This window comes from Homo sapiens, chromosome 6 (genome assembly GCF_000001405.40).
Source record: "Homo sapiens chromosome 6, GRCh38.p14 Primary Assembly".
Classification (NCBI taxonomy): domain Eukaryota; kingdom Metazoa; phylum Chordata; class Mammalia; order Primates; family Hominidae; genus Homo; species Homo sapiens.
In genome coordinates this window covers 34,605,571-34,629,121 of record NC_000006.12, presented here as the reverse complement: position 1 = coordinate 34,629,121, position 23,551 = coordinate 34,605,571, and the positions used below count along the sequence as shown (strand labels likewise).

At 41.9% G+C, this 23,551-nt stretch overlaps 1 protein-coding gene and 1 pseudogene across 6 annotated transcripts in view; one reads left to right on the top strand and one right to left on the bottom strand.

The window, feature by feature from the left end:
• ILRUN (inflammation and lipid regulator with UBA-like and NBR1-like domains) overlaps positions 1-23,551 on the top strand; it is a 109,480-nt gene that overhangs the window by 67,646 nt on the left and 18,283 nt on the right. For all 6 annotated transcript variants that reach the window (XR_926300.4, XR_007059333.1, XR_007059332.1 and 3 more), the window contains one exon: positions 22,218-22,567. Coding sequence is in view for 3 of the 6 variants with exons in the window: in NM_022758.6 (NP_073595.2) it covers positions 22,218-22,567 (350 nt within the window). In the remaining 3 variants the exon portion in view is untranslated. The remainder of the gene's footprint in view (positions 1-22,217; positions 22,568-23,551) is intronic.
• On the bottom strand, positions 11,714-12,600 carry RPL7P25 (ribosomal protein L7 pseudogene 25; annotated as a pseudogene).

The window sequence follows — 23,551 nt, the reverse complement described above, 5'->3', positions numbered from 1 at the left end:
TCTTTTTATATTCTTTTTGAAACAGAGTCTTGCTCTGTTGCCCAGGCTGGTATGCAGTGATCTCAGGTCACTGCAACCTCTGTCTCCCAGGCACAAATGATCCTCACCTCAGCCTCCCAAGTAGCTGGGACTACAGGCATGTGTCACCACACCTGGCTAGTTTTCTTTTGGTAGAGACAGCATTCCGCCATATTGTCCAGGCTGGTCTTGAACTCTTGGGTCAAGCAGTCTTCCTGTCTTGGCCTCCCAAAGTCCTGGGATTACAGGTGTGAGCCACCACACCCAGCCTATACTAATTCTCTACAATTTCCTTCAGAAGATAGAAGCAAATGGAATACTTCCTAACTCCTTCTGTGAGGCCAACGTTACCCTAATACCCAAACCAGACAAAGATTACAGGAAAATTATAAAACTATTTCTCATGAACTTAGATGCACATATCCTCAACAAAATATTAGCAGATTGAATTTCAAAAATGTGTAAAAAGGTGGGCCGGGCGTGGTGGCTCACACCTGTAATCCCAGCACTTTGGGAGGCCGAGGCGGGCGGATCATGAGGTCAGGAGATGGAGACCATCTTGGCTAACACGGTGAAACCCCGTGTCTACTAAAATTACAAAAAATTAGCCAGGCGTGGTGGCAGGTGAGTGCAGCTGGAGTAGTCCCAGCTACTCAGGAGGCTGAGGCAGGAGAATGGCGTGAACCTGGGAGGCGGAGGTTGCAGTGAGCCGAGATCATGCCACTGCACTCCAGCCTGGGTGACAGAGTGAGACTCCGTCTCAAAAAAAAAAAAGTGTAAAAAGGCTAGGCTCAGTGACTCATGGCTGTAATCTCAACACTTTAGCTGGCTGAGGTGGGTGGATCACCTGAGGTCAGGAGTTCAAGACCAGCCTGGCCAACATGGTGAAACCTCGTCTCTACTAAAAATACAAAAATTAGCGGGGCACAGTGGTGTGTGCCTGTAGTCCCAGCTACTTGGGAGGCTGAGGCAGGAGAATCGTTTGAACCCGGCAGGTGGAGGTTGCAGTGAGTTGAGATTGTGCCACTGCACTCCAACCTGAGTGACAGAAACAATATTTGGAGTGAGACTCCATCTCAAAAAAGAAAAAAGTGTATGCAGGCCCAGGGGCGGTGGCTCATGCCTGTAATCCCAGTACTTCGGGGACTGAGGCGGGTGGATCACTTGAGTTCAGGAATTCAAGTCCAGCCTGGCTGACATGGCGAAACCCTGTCTCTACTAAAAATACAAAAATTAGCCGGGTATGGTGGTGCATGTCTGTAATCCTAGCTACTCGGGAGGCTGAGGAAGGAGAATAGCTTGAACCAGGGAGGCGGAGGTTGTGGTGAGCCGAGATCACGCCATTGCACTCCAGCCTGGGCTACAAGAGCGAAACTCTGTCTCAAAAAAAAAAAAAAAAGGGCCAAAGACCTGAACAGATATCTCACCAAAGAAAATGCACAGATGGCATGGCATATAAAAACTTACGAGAAGATATTCACCGTTATATGTTTTCAGGACATTACAAGTTAAAACAACTATGAGATATCACTATATACCTATTAAGATGGCCATAATCCCAAACGCCAACAATACCAAATACTGGTAGGAATGTGGAGCAACAGGAATTCTCATTCACTGCTGGTGAGAATGCAAAATGGTACAGCCACATTCTCTTACCCTCCCATCAGCAGCTGTGCTCCTTGGTATTTACCCAAAGATGTTGAAAACTTACATTCACACAAAAGCCTGCACACAGATGTTTATAGCAACTTTATCTATAATTGCCAAAATTTGGATGCAGTGAAGAAGACCTTTAGTTGGTGAGTGGACAAATAAAGTGTGGTACACCTAGACAATGGAGTATAACTCAGCACTAAAAAGAAATGAGCCATTAAGGCACATGGAAGGACCTTAAATGCATATTACCAAGTGAAAGAAGCTGATCTGAAAAGGCTACATACTGTTGGATTCCAACTCTATGACATTTTGGAAAAGATAAAACTACGGAGACAGTAAAAGCATCAGTGGTTGTCAGAACTGGGGGCAGGGAGAGATGAATAGGCAGAATACAGATTTTTAGGGCAGTGAAAGTATTCTGAATACCATTTTTTTTTTTTGAGATGGAGTTTCGCTCTGTTGCCCAGGCTGGAGTGCAGTGGCATGATCTCGGCTCACTGCAACCTCTGCCTCCCAGGTTCAAGCAATTCCCCTTTCTCAGCCTCCCGAGTAGCTGGGATTACAAGTGCGCACCACCATGCCTGGCTTATTTTTGTATTTTTAGTAGAGATGGGGTTTCACCATGTTGGTCAGGATGGTCTGGAACTCCTGACCTCGTGATCCGCCCACCTCGGCCTCTAAAGTGCTAGGATTACAGGCGTGAGCCATCACACCCCGCCTGATATATTAATATAATGGGGGATACATGTCATTGTACATTTGTCCAAACCCGTAGAATGTACGACATAGAGTGAATCCTAACATAAACTATTGACTTTTGGTGATAATGGTGTGTCAGTGTTGGTTCATCGATTGTAACAAATAATACCACTGTGGTGCAGTATGTTGATAGGCAGGTTGTGCATATGTGGGGGAAATATCTCTTGGTTTTGCTGTGAACCTAAAACTGCTATAAAAAAATAAAATACGATCGGGCAAAGCGGCTCATGCCTGTAATTCCAGCCCTTTGAGAGGCTGAGGCAGGAGGACTGCTTGAGGCCTAGGAGTTTGAGACCAGCCTGGGCAATATATTGGAAGACCCCCATCTCTACAAAAAAATTTAAAAATTAGCTGAGCATGGTGACATGCACCTGTAGTCCTAGCTACTTTGCGGGCAAATGTGGGAAGATTGTTTGAGCTCAGAAGGTCAAGACTACAGTGAGCTGTGATAGCACCATTGCACTCCAGCCTGGGCAACAAAGAGAGACCCTGTCTTGGAAAAGAGAAAAAAAGGAATCTGTTAAAAAATGCCTCCTGGCCGGGTGCAGTGGCTCACACCTGTAATCCCAGCATTTCGGGAGGCCGACCCAGGCGGATCATGGGGTCAGGAGATCGAGACCATCCTAGCTAACATGGTGAAACCCCGTCCCTACTAAAAATACAAAAAATTAGCCGGGCGTGGTGGCGGGTGCCTGTAGTCCCAGCTACTCGGGAGGCTGAGGCAGGAGTATGGCATGAACCTGGGAAGCAGAGGTTGCAGTGAGCCAAGATCGTGCCACTGCACTCCAGCCTGAGCGACAGAGCGAGACTCGCTATCTCAAAAAAAAAAAAAAAAAAAAGCCTTTCAATAAGAAAAAATAATGAACAGTAAGAAATAATAACCTTTGAGGTAGGATAGGCTGGAAGGACTTTCTCAAATATGGGAAACTTTACCAAATTTAGTCTTTTAACTAAATTAAATTCATGTTTGGCGATTGGGAGAAGGTACTTCATTTCTAAACTGAAAGAAGGTGGGCAAAAGCATAAACTCTGGTTAAGCATGACTAGTACACTTTGGGCATTCTGTGGGAAAGAATGGGAGATAGATTGGAGATTACAGTACTTTTTGATGAAGATTAGCACCCACTGGTCATCTGTAAGAGAGTTGAGTAGCTAACCATCACAGATCAAGGTGTACAACTTCAGCATGTCTGACCAAGAGAACATGTGTCTACTCTGCACATCAGATGTGGGCGAGTGGTTTGACTGCCTTTTGTAGGATTGAGATGTCCAGATGGCCATGAGGGAGTTCTAAGTACCCCTATGAGAGATGTTGATAGACCTACTCAGTTTGGTGCTGAATTAATGCCCCCAGAGCTCTGTGCTCACATTTGAGCTAGGAAAATACCTTGGCCCATGAAGGGCGTGTGGTGGAGATGAGAAGGAAGGGATGCTTGGTAAAGCTGGATAAGACCAAAGAAATGAAGAAGATAGTAGGAAGAAATAGGAAAAAAAGAGGGGAAGGGGGGAGGAGGGAAAAAGAAGAAACATTAAGGAAGTTCTGCTTTGTTGCTATATTCAACTCCGACTTCTGTCAGTGAATTTGATGACTAAAGAGCTAGTGTAGTTCTCTTTGGAGAGAATGTTGATGGGGAGAGGTTACTATGTTATTTGTTCTGCTGGTTCTTGCACTGGTCCAGCTAGGTTTGTGATATTGATGGGGAGCAGTTTCCTTGAAGCCAGAAACTAAAGCCCATCCTCTTTCAGGAGGAGAGGGAAGAGAGAGCAGAGTTAACACAATGTATTATCTAAGATCTCTCGGAAGCAAAAGCTTTCACCAAGAGTAACTAGTTACCATCAGTAATGATGTTTTATACTTTTTGTTCATAATTGTATCCAAAATAGGGTTTGAGTTTCTTTTAAAAGACCAATGAGGCGTATATCTTATTTTGTTCTTAATTGTTCAAAACTAACACATTAGCTCTGTAGAAGTTAAAGCTCACCTTGGAAGATGTACCAGAGGAATGGGTGGTTGTTGTTTTTAAATGTTTGGAATTTAAAGTTGAATTAGGTGGCTGGGCATGGTGGCTCACACCTGTAATCCCAGCACTTTGGGAGGCCCAGGCAGGTGGATCACCTGAGGTCAGGAGTTCGAGATCAGCCTGGTGAACATGGTGAAACCCCATCTTTACTAAAAAAAAAACAAAAAAACAAAATTAGCCAGGTGTGGTGGTGCATGCCTGCAATCCCAGCTACTTGGGAGGCTAAGGCAGGAGAATTGCTTGAACCCGGGAGGTGGAGGTTGCAGTCAGCCGACATCACACTATTGTGCTCCAGCCTGGGCAAGAAGAGTGAAACTTCATCAAAAAAAATAAAAAAATAAAAAAATAAATTAGGTAATTAGTTGGTAGTCTAGAATTTGACTTTCTAGTTATAGAATTAATAAATACTTGGAAGTATTTCTTCAATATCTTATTCTAAATTTTACCCTTTGATGAAAATCTCACAGATATCAAGATGTACCAAGTATGTCCCAATTATACTGGTTGGTAAATTCACCAGAATTGGTGAAGGAGGCTGGGCATGGTGGCTCATACCTGTAATCCCAGCACTTTGGGAGGCCAAGGTGGGCCAAACACTTGAGGTCAGGAGTTCAAGACCAGCCTGGCCAACATGGTGAAACCCTGTCTCTACTAAAAATACAAAAATTAGCTGGGCGTGGTGACAGGCACCTGTGCTCCCAGCTACTTGGGAGGCTGAGGCACGAGAATCGCTTGAACCCAGGAGGCAGAGGTTGCGGTGAGCCGAGATTGTGACACTGCACTCCAGCCTGGGCAACAGAGTGAGACTCAAAAAAACAAAAAGAAAAAGAAGTATTGGAGGAGTAAGAATACCAGCCATTTGTCTTCCTATTTGCATATAAAATGGACAATATTTAAATTTTAAGCCTTTTTATCCAATGTTATATTTAAGTGCTTTTCAACATTAATGCCAAAATGATTTTATGCCAGCTGTATAGATTTGCCTCTTAATGTACTGTAGCTATCATTTTGATTTCCTGCATATCCTTAAACACAATTGTACTTTGAAATTTAAATTAGTAATTTAAGTTCTTAAGTGTAGTTTCATGCTATATTACGTTTTTTTGTGGTAGTGCTATTACCCACTCAGATTATGCTTTTTTTCGTAGGCTATAGAAGTTTAAATTATTAGGATAATATTTCCATCTTTTCTGCCAGGAAGTGTTTTCTCCATGAGTATTAGTTATTTTCTGATTAGTGGAACTCTCAAAACTGACCAGGGGTGGGGTGGGATTGTTGCAAGATGTCATCAATAAGCACTAGACCAGGAGTAAAAAAGATCTGACTTCTAATTCTGCCACATAATAAATTACTGATTGGCCTTCAACAAATAACAGAATCAGTAGGCCTCTGATGTTTTTGTTTTTGTTTTGATTAATTGTGGTAAAATAACACATACAATTTATTGTAACCATTTTTAAGTGTACAGTTCACTGGCAATAAGTATATTCACAGGCATCACCACTATTCACCTCTAGAATTCCTTTCATCTTGCAAAACTGAAACTCTGTACCCATTAATAATTCTCCATTCCCCTTCACCCCAGCCATTGGAAACCGCCATTCTACTGTCTCTGATTTTGACTACCTTAGGTACCTCACATACGTGGAATTATATAGTATCTGTCCATTTGGGACTACTTTATTTCACTTAACATTATCAAGGTTCATCCATATTATAGCATGTATCAGAATTTCCTTCCTTTTAAAGGCTGAATAATATTTTGGTGTATATATATACTACATTTTGTTCATTGATCTTTTACTGGACACTTGGGTTACTTCCGCCTTTTGGCTATTGTGAGTAATGCTGCTATGAATGAACATGGGTGTACAAATATCTCTTTGAGACCCTGTTTTCAGATCTTTAGTTTATATACCTAGAGGTAGAGTTACTGGATCATTTGTCAATTCTATATTCAATTTTTTGTGGAATCGTATTGTTTTACAAAGCAGCTGCACCATTTACATTCCTAACAGCACACAAGCGTTCTAATTTCTCCACATCCTCACCAACATTTGGCATTTTCTGATGTCTCTAGGAAGCAAAAGCTTTCACCAAGGGCAACTAAGGATTTTTTTTTTTTTAGTAGTAGCCATCATAAGTGTGAGGTGGTATCTCATTGTGGTTTGATTTGCATTTCCCCGGTGATTAGTAATGTTGAGTATCTTTTTAAGTGCTAATTGGACATTTGTATTTTTATAGAAATGTGTATTCAAGTCCTTTGCCCATTTTGAAATCAGGTTGTGTTTTCTGTTGAGTTGTAGGAGTTCTTTATATATTTGAGATATTAACCCCTTATGACATATATGATCTGTACATATTTTCTCTCATTCCATGGGTAGCCTTTTACTCTGTTGATTGTGTCATTTGGTGCACAGTTTTTAATTTTGATGTCTAATTTATTAGCTTTTGGTGTCATGTCCAAGAAACCATTGCCAAATCCAATGTGATAAAGCTTTTCCCTAAGCTTTTTTCTAGGAGTTTTATAGTTTTAGCTCATATGGTTAGGTCTTTGATCCATTTTGAGTTAATTTTTGTATATGGCATAAGGTAAGGGTCCAACTTCATTCTTTTGCACGTGGATATGCAGTTTTCTCAGCATCGTTTTTTGAGAAGACTGTCCTTTCACCATTGAATTGTTTTGGCACCGTTGTTGAAATCATTTGACCATATACACAAGGTTTGTTTCTGGGCAGTTTCTTCTATTCCATTGGTCTTAATATGTCTGTCTTTCTGCCAGTACCACACTAGTTTTTTTTTTGAGCTGGAGTCTTGCTCTGTCATCAGGCTGGAGTGCAGTGGCACGATCTTGGCTCACTGCAACCTCTGCCCCCCTGGGTTCAAGTGATTCTCCTGCCCCAGCCTCCTGAGTACCTGGGACCACAGGGGTACGCCACCATGCCTGGCTAATTTTTTGTATTTTTAGTAGAGACGGGGGTTTCACCATGTTTAGCCAGGCTGGTCTCGAACTCCTAATCTCAAGTGATCTGCCTGCCTCGGCCACCCAAAGTGCTGGGATTACAGGCATGAGCCACCATGCCGGGCCACTTTGTGATAAGTTTTGACATCAGGAATAAGTTAGTCTTCTTTTTCAAAATTATTTTCACTGTTCAAAATTTTTTAGCCTTAGTGATGCTAAGATTAAAGGATTCAGGTGGTAACAGCCTGATCCCTCCATTGCAGAGGGATCTCTGCAATCGATATTTTGCATAATTGTTTCATCAATTTGTGATGATTGCCTAAATCATTTCATTAGAAGTTACAAAGTAGCGATTCCTTCTACTTTTATTAGCTGGAATTCTTTTGAAGTGGGGGAATCCTTTTGTTCATCAACAGTGACTTATCTTGAAATTTAATTTCTACCAAAAAGGCTGGTTAAATGCTTAATTCTTTACCTTTAATTTTCAGTTGTTAGAGTAAGAAGGTGATGCTCTTGTTGCTTTCAATGAAATTAATGAAGAAGAAGAATTAAATATTTGGTTTGATTTCCCCCTTTTTGTAAGTGTCGTTGTAAACTCTTAGATTCTGTATATGAAACCTGTTTTAGTTCTTTGCAGATAGTGGCTAAGGAATATGTATTTTTAACACAGAAACCACATGATCTTGATGGAGGTGGTTGGTCTGCAGAGCAGACTCCTATAAAGTAGTGTTATGGATTTTAAAACAGTTACTGTTTTGTTGTGTATGTCTTCCCTACCAAAGATGGTGTCCATTAACAAGTTAGTGTCCGGTCTTATCAAAGGCAGATGTTATCAACATAATTTATCATTATTTTAAAATGTATTATTATTTTTGAGACAGGGTCTCACTTTATCATCCAGGCTGGAGTGCAGCGGCACAATCGTAGCTTACTGCAGCCTCAAACGTAAGGGCTCAAGTAGTCCTCCCACCTCAGCCTCCTGAGTAGCTGGGACTGCAGGCATGTGCCATGATGCCCAGCTAATTTTTAAATTTTTTTTGTAGAGTTGGAGTGTAGCTGTGTTGCTACACTTGTGGGCTCAAGTGATCCTTCTACCTTAGCCTCCTGGGAGGCTGGAGGCTACAGGCATGAACCACTGTGCTCTGCAATAATTTATATTTAAATTAGCAATATTAAATGTTAACACATCTTAGTAAGGAGGTATTTTCTGCCTTCAATTTGCTGTCATTGTTATAGTTCTCCAGGTTAAATTAGACATACCCGATCCTCAGACGTTACCCTTAACAGTGACTCCAACTTCCAACAGGGCAACACAGTAAGCAGTTTTTTAATGCTACTTATGGTGCTAAGTACTTTTGCATTAATAATTTGCTCCTTATTGAGCACCTGCCTTGTGCCAGTCACCATCCTAGGGAATTTCCTTATCTCCATTTTTACGGTGTCTCACCTTGACCTAATTTTATTTTTTGAATATGTGAAACATTTTGTGATTCCTAAGTCAAAACTTATTTACGTAATATATTTAGATGGATATAATATATATCCATCCCTGCCCCCTTCAGCTAGTCCCATCCTCCTGCTATAGGGTACTCATTTTTATTCATTGTTTTTTTCTTTTAGCAAACACTAGCAAATGTATATAAATTTGCCCCTTTTCTAAGACAATCTTATAACTACAGATATTGATCTGCATCTTAGCTTTTTTTTTTTTTTTTTTGGAGACAGAGTCTTGCTCTGTCACCCAGGCTGGAGTGCAGTGGTGCAATCTTGGCTCACTGCAACCTCTGCCTCCCAGATTCAAACGATTCTCCTGCCTCAGCCTCCCAAGTAGCTGGGACTACGGGCCTGCACCACCATGCTCGACTAATTTTTGTATTTTTAGTAGAGACGGGGTTTCACCATGTTGGCCAGGCTGATCTTGAGCTCCTGACCTCAGGTGATCCACCCGCCTCAGCCTCCCAAAGTATTACAGGCGTGAGCCACTGTGCCTGGCCACTTTTTTTCACTTAATATGTATATCCTAGAGAGCACTCTTAAAAGGTAATAGAGGCCAGATGTGGTGGCTCATGCCTGTCTTCCCCGCACTTTGTAAGGCTGAGGCAGGAGGATCACTTCAGCCCAGGAGTTGAAGACCAGCCTGGGCAACAAAGGGAGACCCCATTTCTACAAAAAGTAAATAGTCAGGCATGGTGGCAAGTGCCTGCGTGTAGTCCCAGCTACTCAAGAGGTTGAGGGGGGAGGATCACTTGAGCCCAGGAGGTCAAGGCTGCAGTGAGCCATGATTATGCCACTGCACTTCATCCAGCCTGAGTGACAGAGTGAGACTCTCTGTCTCAAAAACAAGTTAATGGAAATCTTCATTTCTTCTGTGATACAGAAGAAATGAAGATCCTTCTATATATATATATATTCTGTGTACCTACTGATGAACATTTGAGTTGTTTTAAATTTCTTGCTGTTAACAAATAATGCAGTATTCTTAATTCTCCTCTTCTAGCTTCTTCCTCATCTCTCTGCCCTCCATTGTAGCAAAACTTCTTCGCAAATGTACCAATAATAATTGTCTCCACCTCCTGATCTCTTACTCTCACAAATTCTATGTAGCTGTCTATCCCCATTACTCCGCTGAAACTGACTGCTTTTTTCAAGCTCTCCAGTGACCTTTGTGTTGCTACATCCAATGGTTTGTCCTTAGTACTCTACTGACTTATTAGCAGCACTGGACTCAGCTGGTGACTCTGTCCTCTGTCCTCTTGAAACACTCGTCACTAGGCTTCTAGAGCACCATAGACTCCCGGTTTTCCTTTATTGTCAGGGCTGTTCCTTCTCTATCTTTTCTGATGCCCTTGGTATTGAATGAATACATCTCTTCTCCTTCCTTATGGTATCAGCTGATGGCTGAGCCAGGTGGGCCCATTTCAGAGGAGGGCAGTCATGAAAGAGGGAAGACTGTAAGGAAAAGGGTGATGGGGTCTCTGCATCTATGAGCTGGAATGAGGGGGAGGAAGAGAGGAAGGCATCTAGGTTCAAAGATCACCAGGAACAAGCCTGTAGCCTGACAAAATCAGATTATTGACGTGATGCAGTGAGTGAAGGCACTTCAGAGGAACTGTGGAATGCCATGGAACAGGAAGGAGGAGGGAAGCATCTTTTGTAGGGCTTGGGTTCTAGCTAAAGGATTCTGAGGAAGCTTTAAGGGATGCTTGGTAGGACAGGGGTCAGTTCTGGATTGGTTGCTGTTTCTGAGACAGGATTAGGTGAAACAGGAATAATTAGGGTTTAGGTGTTGACATGAAGCAAGGGCAGTTTAGCAATTGGGTATTCTCAGTAATAGATGGCTATAGCAAACTAGGTCTGGAAGCATTATTGGTACGAAGGCAGTAGCCACACAAAGAGAGGGTCATTAGGACATTTTACTGCTGCTGCATGACCTTGGGAGAAATAATATTTCCTCTTAACTTTGTACTTGTCTTTATCTGTGTCTGTCCTCCCAGTCCAATTATGGGAGAGTTGCTTTTTCCTTTTTCATTCTGAACAGATTTTCATTTTTCAGCCCCAGCCAGGTTTTTACTCTTAATTCCATGGCACTGATTTCCTGGATTTGGGAAGCAAGGATCCTTGTTTCCTAAGATTTGAGAGAAATAAGTGATTAAATGATTGCTGTACTGCTCCCTCCCCATGTTTAAGGGAAAATCTCATATTTTTGAAATAGGGCATAATGTGGAAAAATTGTGAAATAGGAATAGTTTCTTTGTTGTTTCCTCTTCAGTTCTCCTATCAGTGCCTTTCTTAGGCTTCTCTTCTTTCCTGCGTGAACTTGTGCCCATTGGTTGATCTGATTTGTTACTCTGATGATTAGATTTAAGGTAGCTTAATACGTTTTTTGAGGGGCATTTGCATTTTAAAAGGAAATTCCTGGGTATAATGCTAAATACTAAGGAACAAGTTTCTAATGCACATTTGAGGTAAGAGGTGGTAGGGAGTGAGAATGGGTAGGGATGCGGAGTTTCAGTGGAGGTTGTCCTTCAGCGGTACTCTGCTGCTGGTGGGGTCTAAGCCTCGGAAATCAGGAGGTCACTGAGAAGCTGATGAACTGGAGCCTATCTCTAGCCTTTTCCCCTTTAGGTGCTGAGGCGTAGGTGGCATGTTGACAGATGTGGTGAAAGAATCTGAGTGCCCAGACATGTGTCAGGGGAGCGTGGCTACTGTGCTGAGTAAATTATGTGGCAGTGCAGACTAGAAGTTGAGACTAGACAGATCAGCACCGGGACAACTGGAAGTTCCTTCTTTTCACAATGGTATGCACACACTGCTGCCTTAGCAGTTCTAAGAGACACGCACAAAGATGTCAAGACCTGCTCATAATACTGACTTTTTTTTTCAATTTGAGAGCGCATACTGTTTATTAACTGACTAGATTAGAAAAATAATCATGATAGACGCCTTAGTTCATTCTTCTATTAAGCGTGTTGATCTGGTCCACCCTGTTGCCACCATCTCCACCTTCTACAAAATGTGTAGTTTTTTCTTCATTCCACTTAATGCAGAAGATAATTTGAAGGGCCACAGGAAGTTATTTGCTTCTTTGAAGCATTTTCCAACAGTATAGATCTCATGATCAGATCCTCCATGCAGGTGATGCCATATTTACCAAGAGGTCGAGCAATCAAAGTGTTGTCTGTCAGAGCAACTCACTTCTTATTGATTTTGCCATAACCATGCTTGTAGATTAGTTCATTTACTGACTTCAGATTTGGGTACTCCTATGCAATATATGGTTCTACAATCCTCAGCATGTTAATTGAAGCCTTGTTGAGCTTCACAAAAGTTCCATTAAAGATTTGATGAAGGCAAAGAAGCTGCAACACCTTTCAGACCTTTGGGTTCACACCATTGATACCTCTGATCCTAATGATAAATGCCAATTTGAGTTCTGCAGGTACATAGAAGTTGCTAGTTTTTCTTGCCATCCTTGCCATTTGAATTTCAGTTCTGTGCATCTGCTTATATTCCTTGTGATAGATAAGCTTCCTCCTTGCCTTTCAAAGCACCTTTTGGGCAAACTTCTTTCTCAGGCGATTGATCTTCAGCTCTGCAAAATTCCTTCGCTTTTTCTTAAGGGTTTCTGGCACAGCAGGAACCTTCTTCTCTTCGACACCCTCCATGGTTCCAGCCTGAAAAGAGCATAATACTGACTTTTGCACTGCCTACTGTTGGGGCATGTTTCAGTCCACTTTCAAGCCTTTCTCACTGAAGCTAGACAGTACACACCCAGCTTTTCTATAGAGATGAAATATGAGCCTGTAGCTTATAGCTCAGCAGCTGACTGCAGCCAGACCCCTTTTGTTTCTTAATCCTTAGGGGAAGTGTGAAGTTCCTGTTCTGCTTTGAAGATGGGTTGATCTTCCTAAAGGATTTGAACCCACAACCTTCAAATCTGGAAGTGGCCTCCACCATAATCTTCCTGTTGACCTTCACCAGGCTTTGCCTCCTGATGCCAGGGCATTCATGTCTCACAACTCCCAGGCACAAGGAGTGGTGGTTGCTCTAAAGATCAGAAGCATCCAAGAGTTTAGTCTCAGCTATACCTTTAACCACTGGGAGGTGTCCATGTACGTTAGATTTTTGAAGTGGTCCCTTCCCAAGTCCCCTGACCTTTCCCCTTGGGAAGCCCAGAACCAAGTGGAAGCCTATTGATGAAGCAGTTTATTGTTTGGCTTAAGTGGTTTCTCTTTACAACTGCTGGTCAAAAGCAGACTCTGGGATTAGTCAAGCAGCCTCAGCCCAACATCCACATCAAGATGATGGTGGTTCGGTTGTACAGTCATTGATGTAACCCTAGTTTGAAGACTGTTAACTGATCTGTAATGCTCTACTGGGAAAGGGAGCGTTTCCCTGCAGATAGGACTGGCTTCTGTCTTCAGCTGATAAAACGGTGTTTTTGAGGCTTCTAAAGGACTTGGGCGCATGATGGTTCCCTTTTTGCCCTGCTACAACCTTGTTCTACCCCTCGCTTGATATCAAAACACTCTCTTTTGCTAGTCAATTCTCTCCATAGAAAGTGGTCTGCATCAGCTCTATTGCAGTTTTTGTTTTTGTTTTTGTTTAAGATGGAGTCTCGCTCTGTGTCCCAGGCTGGAGTGTAGTGGCATGATCTCGGCTCACTGCAACCTGCCCCTCCCAGGTTCAAGTGATTCTCCTGCCCCAGCCTCCCCAGTAGCTGGGATTACAGGTGTGTGCCACCATGCCTGGCTAATTTTTGCATTTTTAGTAGAGACAAGGTTTCACCATGTTGGCCGGGCTGGTCTTGAACTCCTGACCTTAGGTGATCCACCCACCTCAGCCTCCCAAAGTTCTGGGACTACAGGTGTGAGCCACCATGCCTGGCCTCTGTTGCAGTTTTACCTGTTAATTTCTGAAATATGATTTTCTAATACTGTACCAATGTATTTTAGTGTATGTTTTGTAATAATTAGGTTTACAGAAAAGTTGCAAATATAGAGTTCTTATATACCCAGTTTTTCCTATTGTTATCACCTTACATTATCATAGTACACTTGTTAAAGACATCAACATTGGTATATTACTATTAATTAAACTCCAGACTTTATTTGGATTTCACCAATTTTTTTCACTAATGACCTGTTTCTATTCCAGAATCCAATCTAGGCTACCACATTACACTTAGTTGTCATGTGCCCCAATCTCTTCTAGTCAGTGACAATTTCTCAGTCTTTCAGTGTTTTTCATGACCCTTGACTGTCTTAAGGAATACTGGCAAGTATCCTATAGAATGACATGTAATCTGAGCTTGTCTGATGTTTTCCTCATGATTACACTGATGTTACGGGGTTTAGAAAGAATACCACAGAGGTAAAGCACCCTATCAAGGGTACTTGATATTCATCTAATATCATTGGTGATGCTAACCTTGATCACTTGGTTAAGTAGTATGTTTGCCAGGTTTTTCTATTGTAGAGTTACTGTTTTTCCTTCTCCCTATACAATTTTTTGGAAGCGAATCACAAGGCTAGCCCACTCTCAAGGAGGGAATGGGAGATGTATAGAATTAAGTTCTACCTCTTGGAAACAGGGAGTATCTACATATATTGTTTGGAATTCCTCTGTTAGGAAGTTTGTCTCTTCTCTCCCACTTATATGTATAGCACTGTGGATCCATGAATATATATATATATATAAAATATAATATATATAATAATATATAAAAAATATATAATATACATTTTATATATATATATTTTTTTTTTTTTATTATTTTTTGAGATGGAGTCTTGCTCTGTCGCCCAGGCTGGAGTGCAGTGGCGTGGCCTCTGCTCACTACAAGCTCTGCTTCCTGGGTTCACGCCATTCTCCTGCCTCAGCCTCCCGAGTAGCTGGGACTACAGGTGCCCGCCACCATGCCCGGCTAATTTTTTGTATATTTAGTAGTGACGGGATTTCACCGTTTTAGCCAGGATGGTCTCGATCTCCTGACCTGGCGATCCACCTGCCTTGGCCTCCCACGGTGCAAGGATTATAGGCGTGAGCCACCGCACCCAGCCAGGATTCATGTATGTTTATTTTATACTTTGGATTGTGACTTAAAACTATGTTATTTATTATGTTGCTCGAATTGTTCCAGCTTTGGCCAGTGGAAGTTCTTTCTGGTTGGTTTATATGTCCCTGTGACATGCCCTTATCCTTTTGTTCTTTGACCACTTTCTTTCTGCTACTATAGGATGTTTCAGATTCATCTTGTATTTTCCATGCCCTAGCCGCAGAATCAGCCATTTATCCAAGGAGCTCTTGTACTTTTTACTGGAGAATCCTATATAGAAACCAAAATCTGGGCACTGGGTATGTTCATTGCTACTGGGGTGTCATAAATTCTAGTCCTTCTTGGCAAACAGAGCTAGATAATACATGTATGCACACCAACTTTTGTATATGGACGTATCTACAACTGATTCCGTATTTCTTCATCTATTATAACCAGGAACTTATATTGACATCTCTGACTTTAATTCAGTACCACAGCATTCATTTTTAGAATGCCTTCCTTTCTTGCTTATCTATAATATCTTCAAAAGTGAGGAACCTTGTTCCCACTATATAACATCCGTTTACTTATTTGTTCAGCCCCAGTATACACTGACAGCAGTTTCAGAATTATATCCCATCAGAAACAGATTTACCAGTTGGGAATGTTGCACTGATTTTTACTATTTTATTTTACTGGAGAAATTGTAGATGTGTATATGCTGATTATGATGTGATTTGACCTCTGATGCTAGCTTTTACATGTATGCAGACATTTTTTATCTGACCATAATCTGTGATGTCTTTGTATGTCAGTATGAATCGTTGAGATTATGGATGTGAGCTCCAACTTAAACATTTTCCTTTTATTCTCTTACACTTATTCTAAAAATTTGTTTGATTGGCTTTGGTTTTTTGTTGTTGTTGTTGTTGTTGTTGTTGTTGTTTTTGAGACAGGGTCTCACTCTGTCACCCAGGCCAGAGTGCAGTGATGCGATCTCGGCTCACTGCAACCTCCACCTCCTCTTAGGTTCCAGTGATTCTCATGCCTCAGCATGCTAGGTAGCTGAGACTACAGGTGCACACCACCACATGTAACAAATTTTTTTTTTTTTTTCCTTGAGACGGAGTCTCGCACTGTTGCCCAGGCTGGAGTGCAGTGGCGCAATCTCGGCTCACTGCAAGCTCCGCCTCCCGGGTTCACGCCATTCTCCTGCCTCAGCCTCCTGAGTAGCTGGGACTACAGGTGCCCACCACCATGCCCGGCTAATTTTTTTGTATTTTTAGTAGAGATGGGGTTTCACCGTGTTAGCCAGGATGGTCTTGATCTCCTGACCTCATGATCCGCCCGCCTTGGCCTCCCAAAATGCTGGGATTGCAGGCGTGAGCCACTGCACCCAGCCAAATTTTTGTATTTTTAGTAGGGATGGGGTTTCACCATGTTGCCCAGGCTGATCTGGAACTCCTGACCTTAAGTGATCCACCTGCTTTGGCCTCCCAAAGTGCTGGCATTACAGGCATGAGCTGCTGTACCTGGCCTCTTTTATACTTATCGTCCAAGATTAAGAAATAGGAAAGCTATGTTTTCTCTTTAGTAATTTATGATGTATTTCTACAAAAGGAAGTTTATACTATAATAATGAGGTTTTGTCATCTGTAAAGGGACAAGTTGAATGAGATAACATTTACAGTACTTTCTAGCTCTAATGTTCTGTCTCCGGTGCTTTTTATTTTTATTATTATTATTTTTTGAGACAGGGTCTCACTGTTGCCCAGGCTGAAGCACAGTGGTACAACCTCGACCTCCTAGGCTCAGGCTATCCTCCCACCTCAGCCTCCCAAGTAGCTGGGTCTACAAGCGTGTGCCACCATGCCTGGCTAATTTTTGTATTTTTTGTGGAAACAGTGTTTCACCGTTGTTGCCTAGGCTGGTGTTGCCATAGGCTGGTCGCAAACTCCTGAGTTCAAGCAGTCTGCTCACATTGGCTTCCCAAAGTGCTGGGATTACAGATGTGAGTGGCTGTGACTGGCCTCAGGTGCTTTAAAAGAAAATCTCCTTAAGGCCAGACATTTTAGAATCAGGGTCTCCATTTGCTTACTAAGTCCTCATTGTGTTCTCATGGCACATGATTCTACCTCCTTGGCTACTTCTCTGGGACATTTGTGGTCCATTCTTCCTGTTGGTGCCAAAGATCACAGGTGCCAAAGACCTGTGGGTAAAGATACTATGGCTTGGGAAATGGGACTGACTTAACCATAGCTTTAGTTCCCTGGGTATTTGGGTTCCTATGTTCCTGTTAGGTGTGAGTTTTTAAAGCTATACTAAAAGCTGGGTGTTCTCAGTCTGCTTTAACTTAAATTATGACCTTGAGCTCATCACTTTTACCTCTAGACTTCAGATTTTTTAAATCTAGAAAACGAAGCAGTTTCATTGGATGATCTCTTCCACTTGTGGTTTTATTATAACAGATGGTAAAGTATCTGGCTAGCAGCTAGTTCTTATCTCAGTGATCAAGGCATTCTGGTAAGAATTGGGAATGGTCATTGTCTATGAAACAAGCTTATTAGGCCATCTTTACCTTTTCTTTACTTTTTCATTTGTTTGATTAAAGTAATACAGTAGGCAGGGGGTGAACGCATTCTGGAATATAAGGTCTAGAAGTGGTACAAGATGATTGAGATTGTACCACGTAGAAGTTGTATTTTGCTGTTCATGATGACCCATTGCAGCAGTAACTTAGGAGGGTCAGAACTGATATTTATTGTTGGTGTTTATAAATCAGTGGCTTCTCAAATGACTTTCCTTTTATAGCTACTATGTAGAATCTATGTACAGAGCTGAGCAATAGCCAACGCAAAGAGATGGGGAGGTGGCTTAAGTATGATAAGTTCTGGTGAGTCATACTAAGGACATTTTTGGCCAGTGCAGTGGCTTATGCCTGTAATCCCAATACTTGGAGAGGCTGAACCAGGAGGATCGCTTGAGCCCAGGAGTTTGCCAACCTGGGCAACATAGTGAGACCTCATCTCTACTAAAAATTTAATTAAAAAAAAAAAAAAAGACATCAGAAAGAAAGAAAGAAAGGAAAGGAGAGGGAAGGAGAGGGGGAGGGGGAGGGGGAAAGAAGTCTCACTGTGTTGCCCAGAATGGTCTCAAACTCCTGGGCTCAAGTGATCCTCGTTCCTCAACCACCCAGAGTGCTGGAATTACAGGTGCTAGCCACTGCACCCAGCCTAAAGATGCTTTAGTTCTAAAGGGAGAAAAGGGGTGGTGGTAGGTTATTAGTCTTATTTATGGATAACAGCTTTCAGAATAGCTTTCTCATAAGCATTTAGTTTCCTGAGCTAAGAATGAAGCATATGACCTGTAGCTTAGTAGCTGTGTGCCAAATCTATCATGTACTTACAAAAGAATTTATTTTTAAAACAGATGGGTGGTAGACAAGGAGGAGTAAAACTACAGGTTGAGTATCCCTTATCTGAAATGCTTGAGACCAGAAGTGTTTCAGATTTTACATTTTTTTGGATTTTTGAATATTTGCATTATATCAGTTCATCATCCCTAATCCAAAAATTCAAAATCTGAAATGATTCAATGAGATTTTCTTTTGAGTGTCAGATTGGTGGTCAAAAAGTTTTGGATTTTCAAATTAGGAATACTCAGCCTGTATTGTAAGACAGGGCTTATCTGTTTGGGAAAAACAAATAGTAGAGTGAAGGAATGCTGTCTTGTGTTAGAAAGCTAGGATAGGAGAGCATGGAATGATTCTCCCTCAGGCTGCCTGCTATTGGATTGTCCCACTTCATTGGATTGATTTATGAGATTGAGCTTTGAACACAGGTCCTCTGACCCACTATTCCTGGCACTGTCCCAGATTTTCAAGGGAAGTGGCACACTACATGTGTGGTGTTAAGTCAAGAGGTTTAACTTTTATGTTGCTAGTTTACATGGGGATTTATATTTTCTTTTCTTTTTTTTCTTTTTCTTTTTCTTTTTTTTTTTGAGACGGAGTCTTGCTCAGTCGCCCAGGCTGGAGTGCAGTGGCGTGATTTCAGCTCACTGCAAGCTCTGCCTCCCGGGTTCATGCCATTCTCCTGCCTCAGCCTCTCGAGTGGCTGGGACTATAGGAGCCCGCCACCATGCCTGGCTAATTTTTTTTTGTAATTTTAGTAGAGACGGGGTTTCACCGTGTTAGCCAGGATGGTCTCGATCTCCTGACCTCGTGATCCACCTGCCTCGGCCTCCCAAAGTGCTGGGATTACAGGCATGAGCCACCACACCCGGCCATATTTTCTTTGATGATAAGTGTATCTGGAATGAATGTACATTCCTGTGAGTCATACTAGTGCTGCTGCTGGTGGCTTTAATTTCCTCTTCTTAGAGGAGAAAGAAATTGCTAATTCCAGGAGTGAACAGCAGATGTCACTGCATCTCCACTTACTAGGGCCTGACTCTTAGCTGTTTGGATACAACCAGTTCTTAATACAGCTCCCAAACCTCTTAAGTTTTTATGGTTGTATAATACTTTAAGATTCCCTTTTTTTTGGAGATAGGCTCTCACTCTGTCATCCAGGCTGGCTGTTTGGATACAACCAGTTCTTAATACAGCTTCCAAACCTCTAAGTTTTTATGGTTGTATGATACTTTAAGATTCCACCCCACCTTTTTTTTTTGAGATAGGCTCTTACTCTGTCATCCAGGCTGGAGTGCAGGGGCACGATCTCAGCTCACTACAACCTCCGCCTCCCAGGTTCAAGCAATTATCCCATCTTAGCCTCCTAAGTAGCCAAGACTACAGGCGTGCACCACCACATCCAGCTAATTTTTGTATTTTTAGTAGAGACAGGGTTTTTGCCATGTTGGCCAGGCTAGTCTCGAACTCCTGACCTCAAGTGATCCACCCACCTCGGCCTCCCAAAGTGTTGGGATTACAGGCATGAGCCACCGTGCCCAGCCAGGCTGCCTTCTTTTGATATACAGCCCAAATTAAAAATTTAGAATAAACACAGCCTGAGAGAGTTTTCCTTAGTTTCCTTCACTGCTTGTTTTTAGTGTTTGTTCTAGGATTATATTATCTCTATTTCTAGGTAGCTAACTGATGGAATGCATTTGCCTTTTTCTATCAACCTTTCAACAGTTATTTAGGATCCTAGACAGTTCTTCGTATTTGTGTTCAGTACGGTTCACACAGTTAAAAGCTTCTTGGCCTTTCTGTATTTTGCTTTTTGAAAACCTTCCAACAGGAATGTACGTGTCACTGTTCTCTGGAGTGAGGTGCTGAACATCAAAGGTTCAGGAACCGCTACTTTCTTTTTTTATTTGAACCCTTAGCTTTGGCACTTGAGCAAATCAAGAGCTGAACTATGACCAAATGTCCTATGGTACATCTATTTAAAAATACATTTATGGTTTAATTGTGGATAGGTGGTAGAGTTTCCCTCTATAGTCTTGTACTGTATAATGATGTTTTGGTCAGTGATGGTGGTCCCATAAAGTTATAATGGAGCTGAAAAATTCCTGTTACCTAGTGACACTGTAGCTTCCATAACATTGTAGTTTGTTTTTTAATGAATTTGGTGTAACCTAACTGCACAGTGTTTATGAAGTCTACATAGTATTTAGTAATGTCCACATTCACTCACTGACTCACCCAGATCAACTTCCAGGCTTGAAAGCTCCATGGTAAGTTCCCTAGGCAGGTACATCATTTTTTATCTTTCATATCATATATTTTACTATTCTATGTTTAGCTATTTTTTTTAATTTTTTAATTTTTTTTTGAGATGGAGTCTTGCTGTGTCAACTAGGCTAGAGTGCAGTGGCACAATCTCGGCTCCACCTCCCAGGCTCAAGCAATTCTCCTGCCTCAGCCTCCTGAGTAGCCGGGATTATAGGCACCCGCCACTATGCCCAGCTAGTTTTTTAATTTTCAGTAGAGATGGGGTTTCACTATGTTGGCCAGGCTGGTCTCGAACTTCTGACCTCAAGTGATCTTCCTGCCTCAGCCTCCCAGAGTGTTGGGATTACAGGCATGAGCCACCACCCACGGCTGTAATTTTTTTTTTTTTTTAAGACAGGGTGGTGCTGTGTTGCCTGAGCTGGAGTGCATTGGTGTAATCACAGCTCACTGCAGCCTCTACCTCCTGGGCTCAAGCGATCCTCCCACCTCTGTCCCCCAAGTAGCTGGGACTACAGGCGAGCACCACCACGGCCAGCTAATTTTTAAGTTTTTGGTAGAGACAGAGTCTCCCTGTGTCACCCAGGACGGTCTCAAACTCTTGGTCTGAAGTGATCCTCTTGCCTAGACCTCCCAGAATGCCCAGGATTACAGACATGAAATCTGGCCTGGCCTTAGATACGTTTAGATACACATATACTTACTGTTGTATTACAGTTGCCTACAGTATTCAATAAAGTAACAGTACAGTAACATGCTATAGAGATTTGTAGCCTAAGAGCAATAGGCTATACCATATAGCCTAGGTGTGTAGTAGGCTCTACTATCTAGGTTTTGTACACTCTATGATGTTCACACAGTGATAAATTGCCTAATGATACATTTCTCAGAACATATCTTCTTCATTAAGCAATGCATGACTGTATGACAGAAAAGCAAAGCAGGTGTTAAATTGGGTATTTTAGAAAGTCTGAGGCATGCCAAATTCTTGGTGTCTTTTGGTCAAATAGATTGAGAAGATAGCCAGGGTGATAGTATCTTCCATTTTGTCTAGATAAATGCTGGTCCTGGCGTAATTATTAATAGGTCCCTCTTTCACTCTCATTTGTCCTAGTTTGGACAACATATGGTCATTCTAAATTGCCCCCAAAGGGAAGAGCATTGATAAAGTTGTAATTCTCATAATTGTAAAATACATGTAAAATAAAGTGAAAAACCACAAAGAGATACCAATTCTAGGAAACTTTTGATTTCTATCTATTGATCGTTCTCTGGAATAATGATTTCCAAAGATGACGGTGCATTGGCATCAACTGGTAAGCTTTTTATAAATAGAGTTTCATGGATCTCACCACAGACCTCTGCTGAATTTATACTAGAATTTGAATTTGACATTACCAAAAATGTAGCTATGCATGCAATGCAAATGTACCAGGCAGCTTTGTTAGCAAGCTTTTAAAACTAGCATATAGAAGAATGTTTCATTCTGTGGTTTGGATAATGTTTGGGGTTTTTGGTGGTGGCTATCTTGGGCCTTTAAGGGTAAGCCTGGCATTGAAATGAGTTACCTTTTTGTTTCAGATGTCATCTGGGTGATTCTCAGTGTGGAGGTGGGTGGACTTTTAGGAGTAACGCAGCAGCTGTCATCTTTTGAAACGGAGTTCAACACACAGCCGCATCGTAAGGTAGAAGGAAACTTCAACCCTTTTGCCTCTCCCCAAAAGAACCGACAATCAGATGAAAACAACTTAAAAGACCCTGGGGGCTCCGAGTTCGACTCGATCAGCAAAAACACATGGGCTCCTGCTCCTGACACATGGGCTCCTGCTCCTGACCAAACTGAGCAAGACCAGAATAGACTGTCACAGAACTCTGTAAATCTGTCTCCCAGCAGTCACGCAAACAACTTATCAGTAGTGACTTACAGTAAGGTAGGTGCCCTTGGAGAAGAGAAGGGGTAGGTGGTGGGCCTTGGGACTTGTGATACCCCTTCATGGCAAACCTAGAATCCTAGACTGCCGCTCCCCAGAGGAGGTTCTTTAAGACTGCTCAGCTCTCCTGCCAATAGCAACAATGCAAAAGCTTACCCCTTCTCCCGTTTCCCCAGCCCCATCTTCATGTCCTGTGGATGTTGCTTCATCCACATTTATAATTTACTCCTGTCTCTCTGCTATGGTTTGGGTGTTGAAAGAGTGAAGTTCTTTACCTTTAGTATTTTAAAAAAAGAAACAATGTTGCTCAATTATTTATTCTAAATATTGTTGTTGGGCTTTGCTTTATTTACCCTGTTTGCATGTCTTGTTGATGTCTTTTCAGTCCTTATGGCCCATCGACTTCCTTATCCATGACCCAGAGAGGCCCCAGTGATATTTTGACTTTTCAAATGTGGTGAATAAGTGAGAGTTGTTTGTTGAGTTAACTGTGATTTTAAATATTCTGATTGTTGTGAGGCACTTTTCTAGGTGTTTGATTTCTTGATCTGTTTTCTTCTATGCCAATTGATTAAACAGTGTCTTCCACAGTTTGCTAAGGTGATGATGGTGCCTGGTTGTTGGTTTTGGTTGGTTGAATAAAGCCCTGATGCTGGGAGTTCATTGTTGTAGGTGGTTCAAGTGGTGGAGTCCTGTAAGCATTCCTGTGTATTCTTCTCTGAATAATAATGCTGCATATTAAGCCTAGCATCCTACCCATATTACCACATAAACTGTTAGGTCTGTCCTGGCTTCAATTCATGTTGGCGTTCACCTTAAATTTTAAAAATAAAGTTTATGTTTATTTGAGGGGCAAGTGACTATGTTGTAAGAATGATATTTTTCTGACCAGTAGTTTTATTTTATTTTTACTTTTTATTTGTTCCAAGATGGAGTCTTGCTCTGTCACCCAGGCTGGAGTGTAGTGACACAATCTCGGCTGAC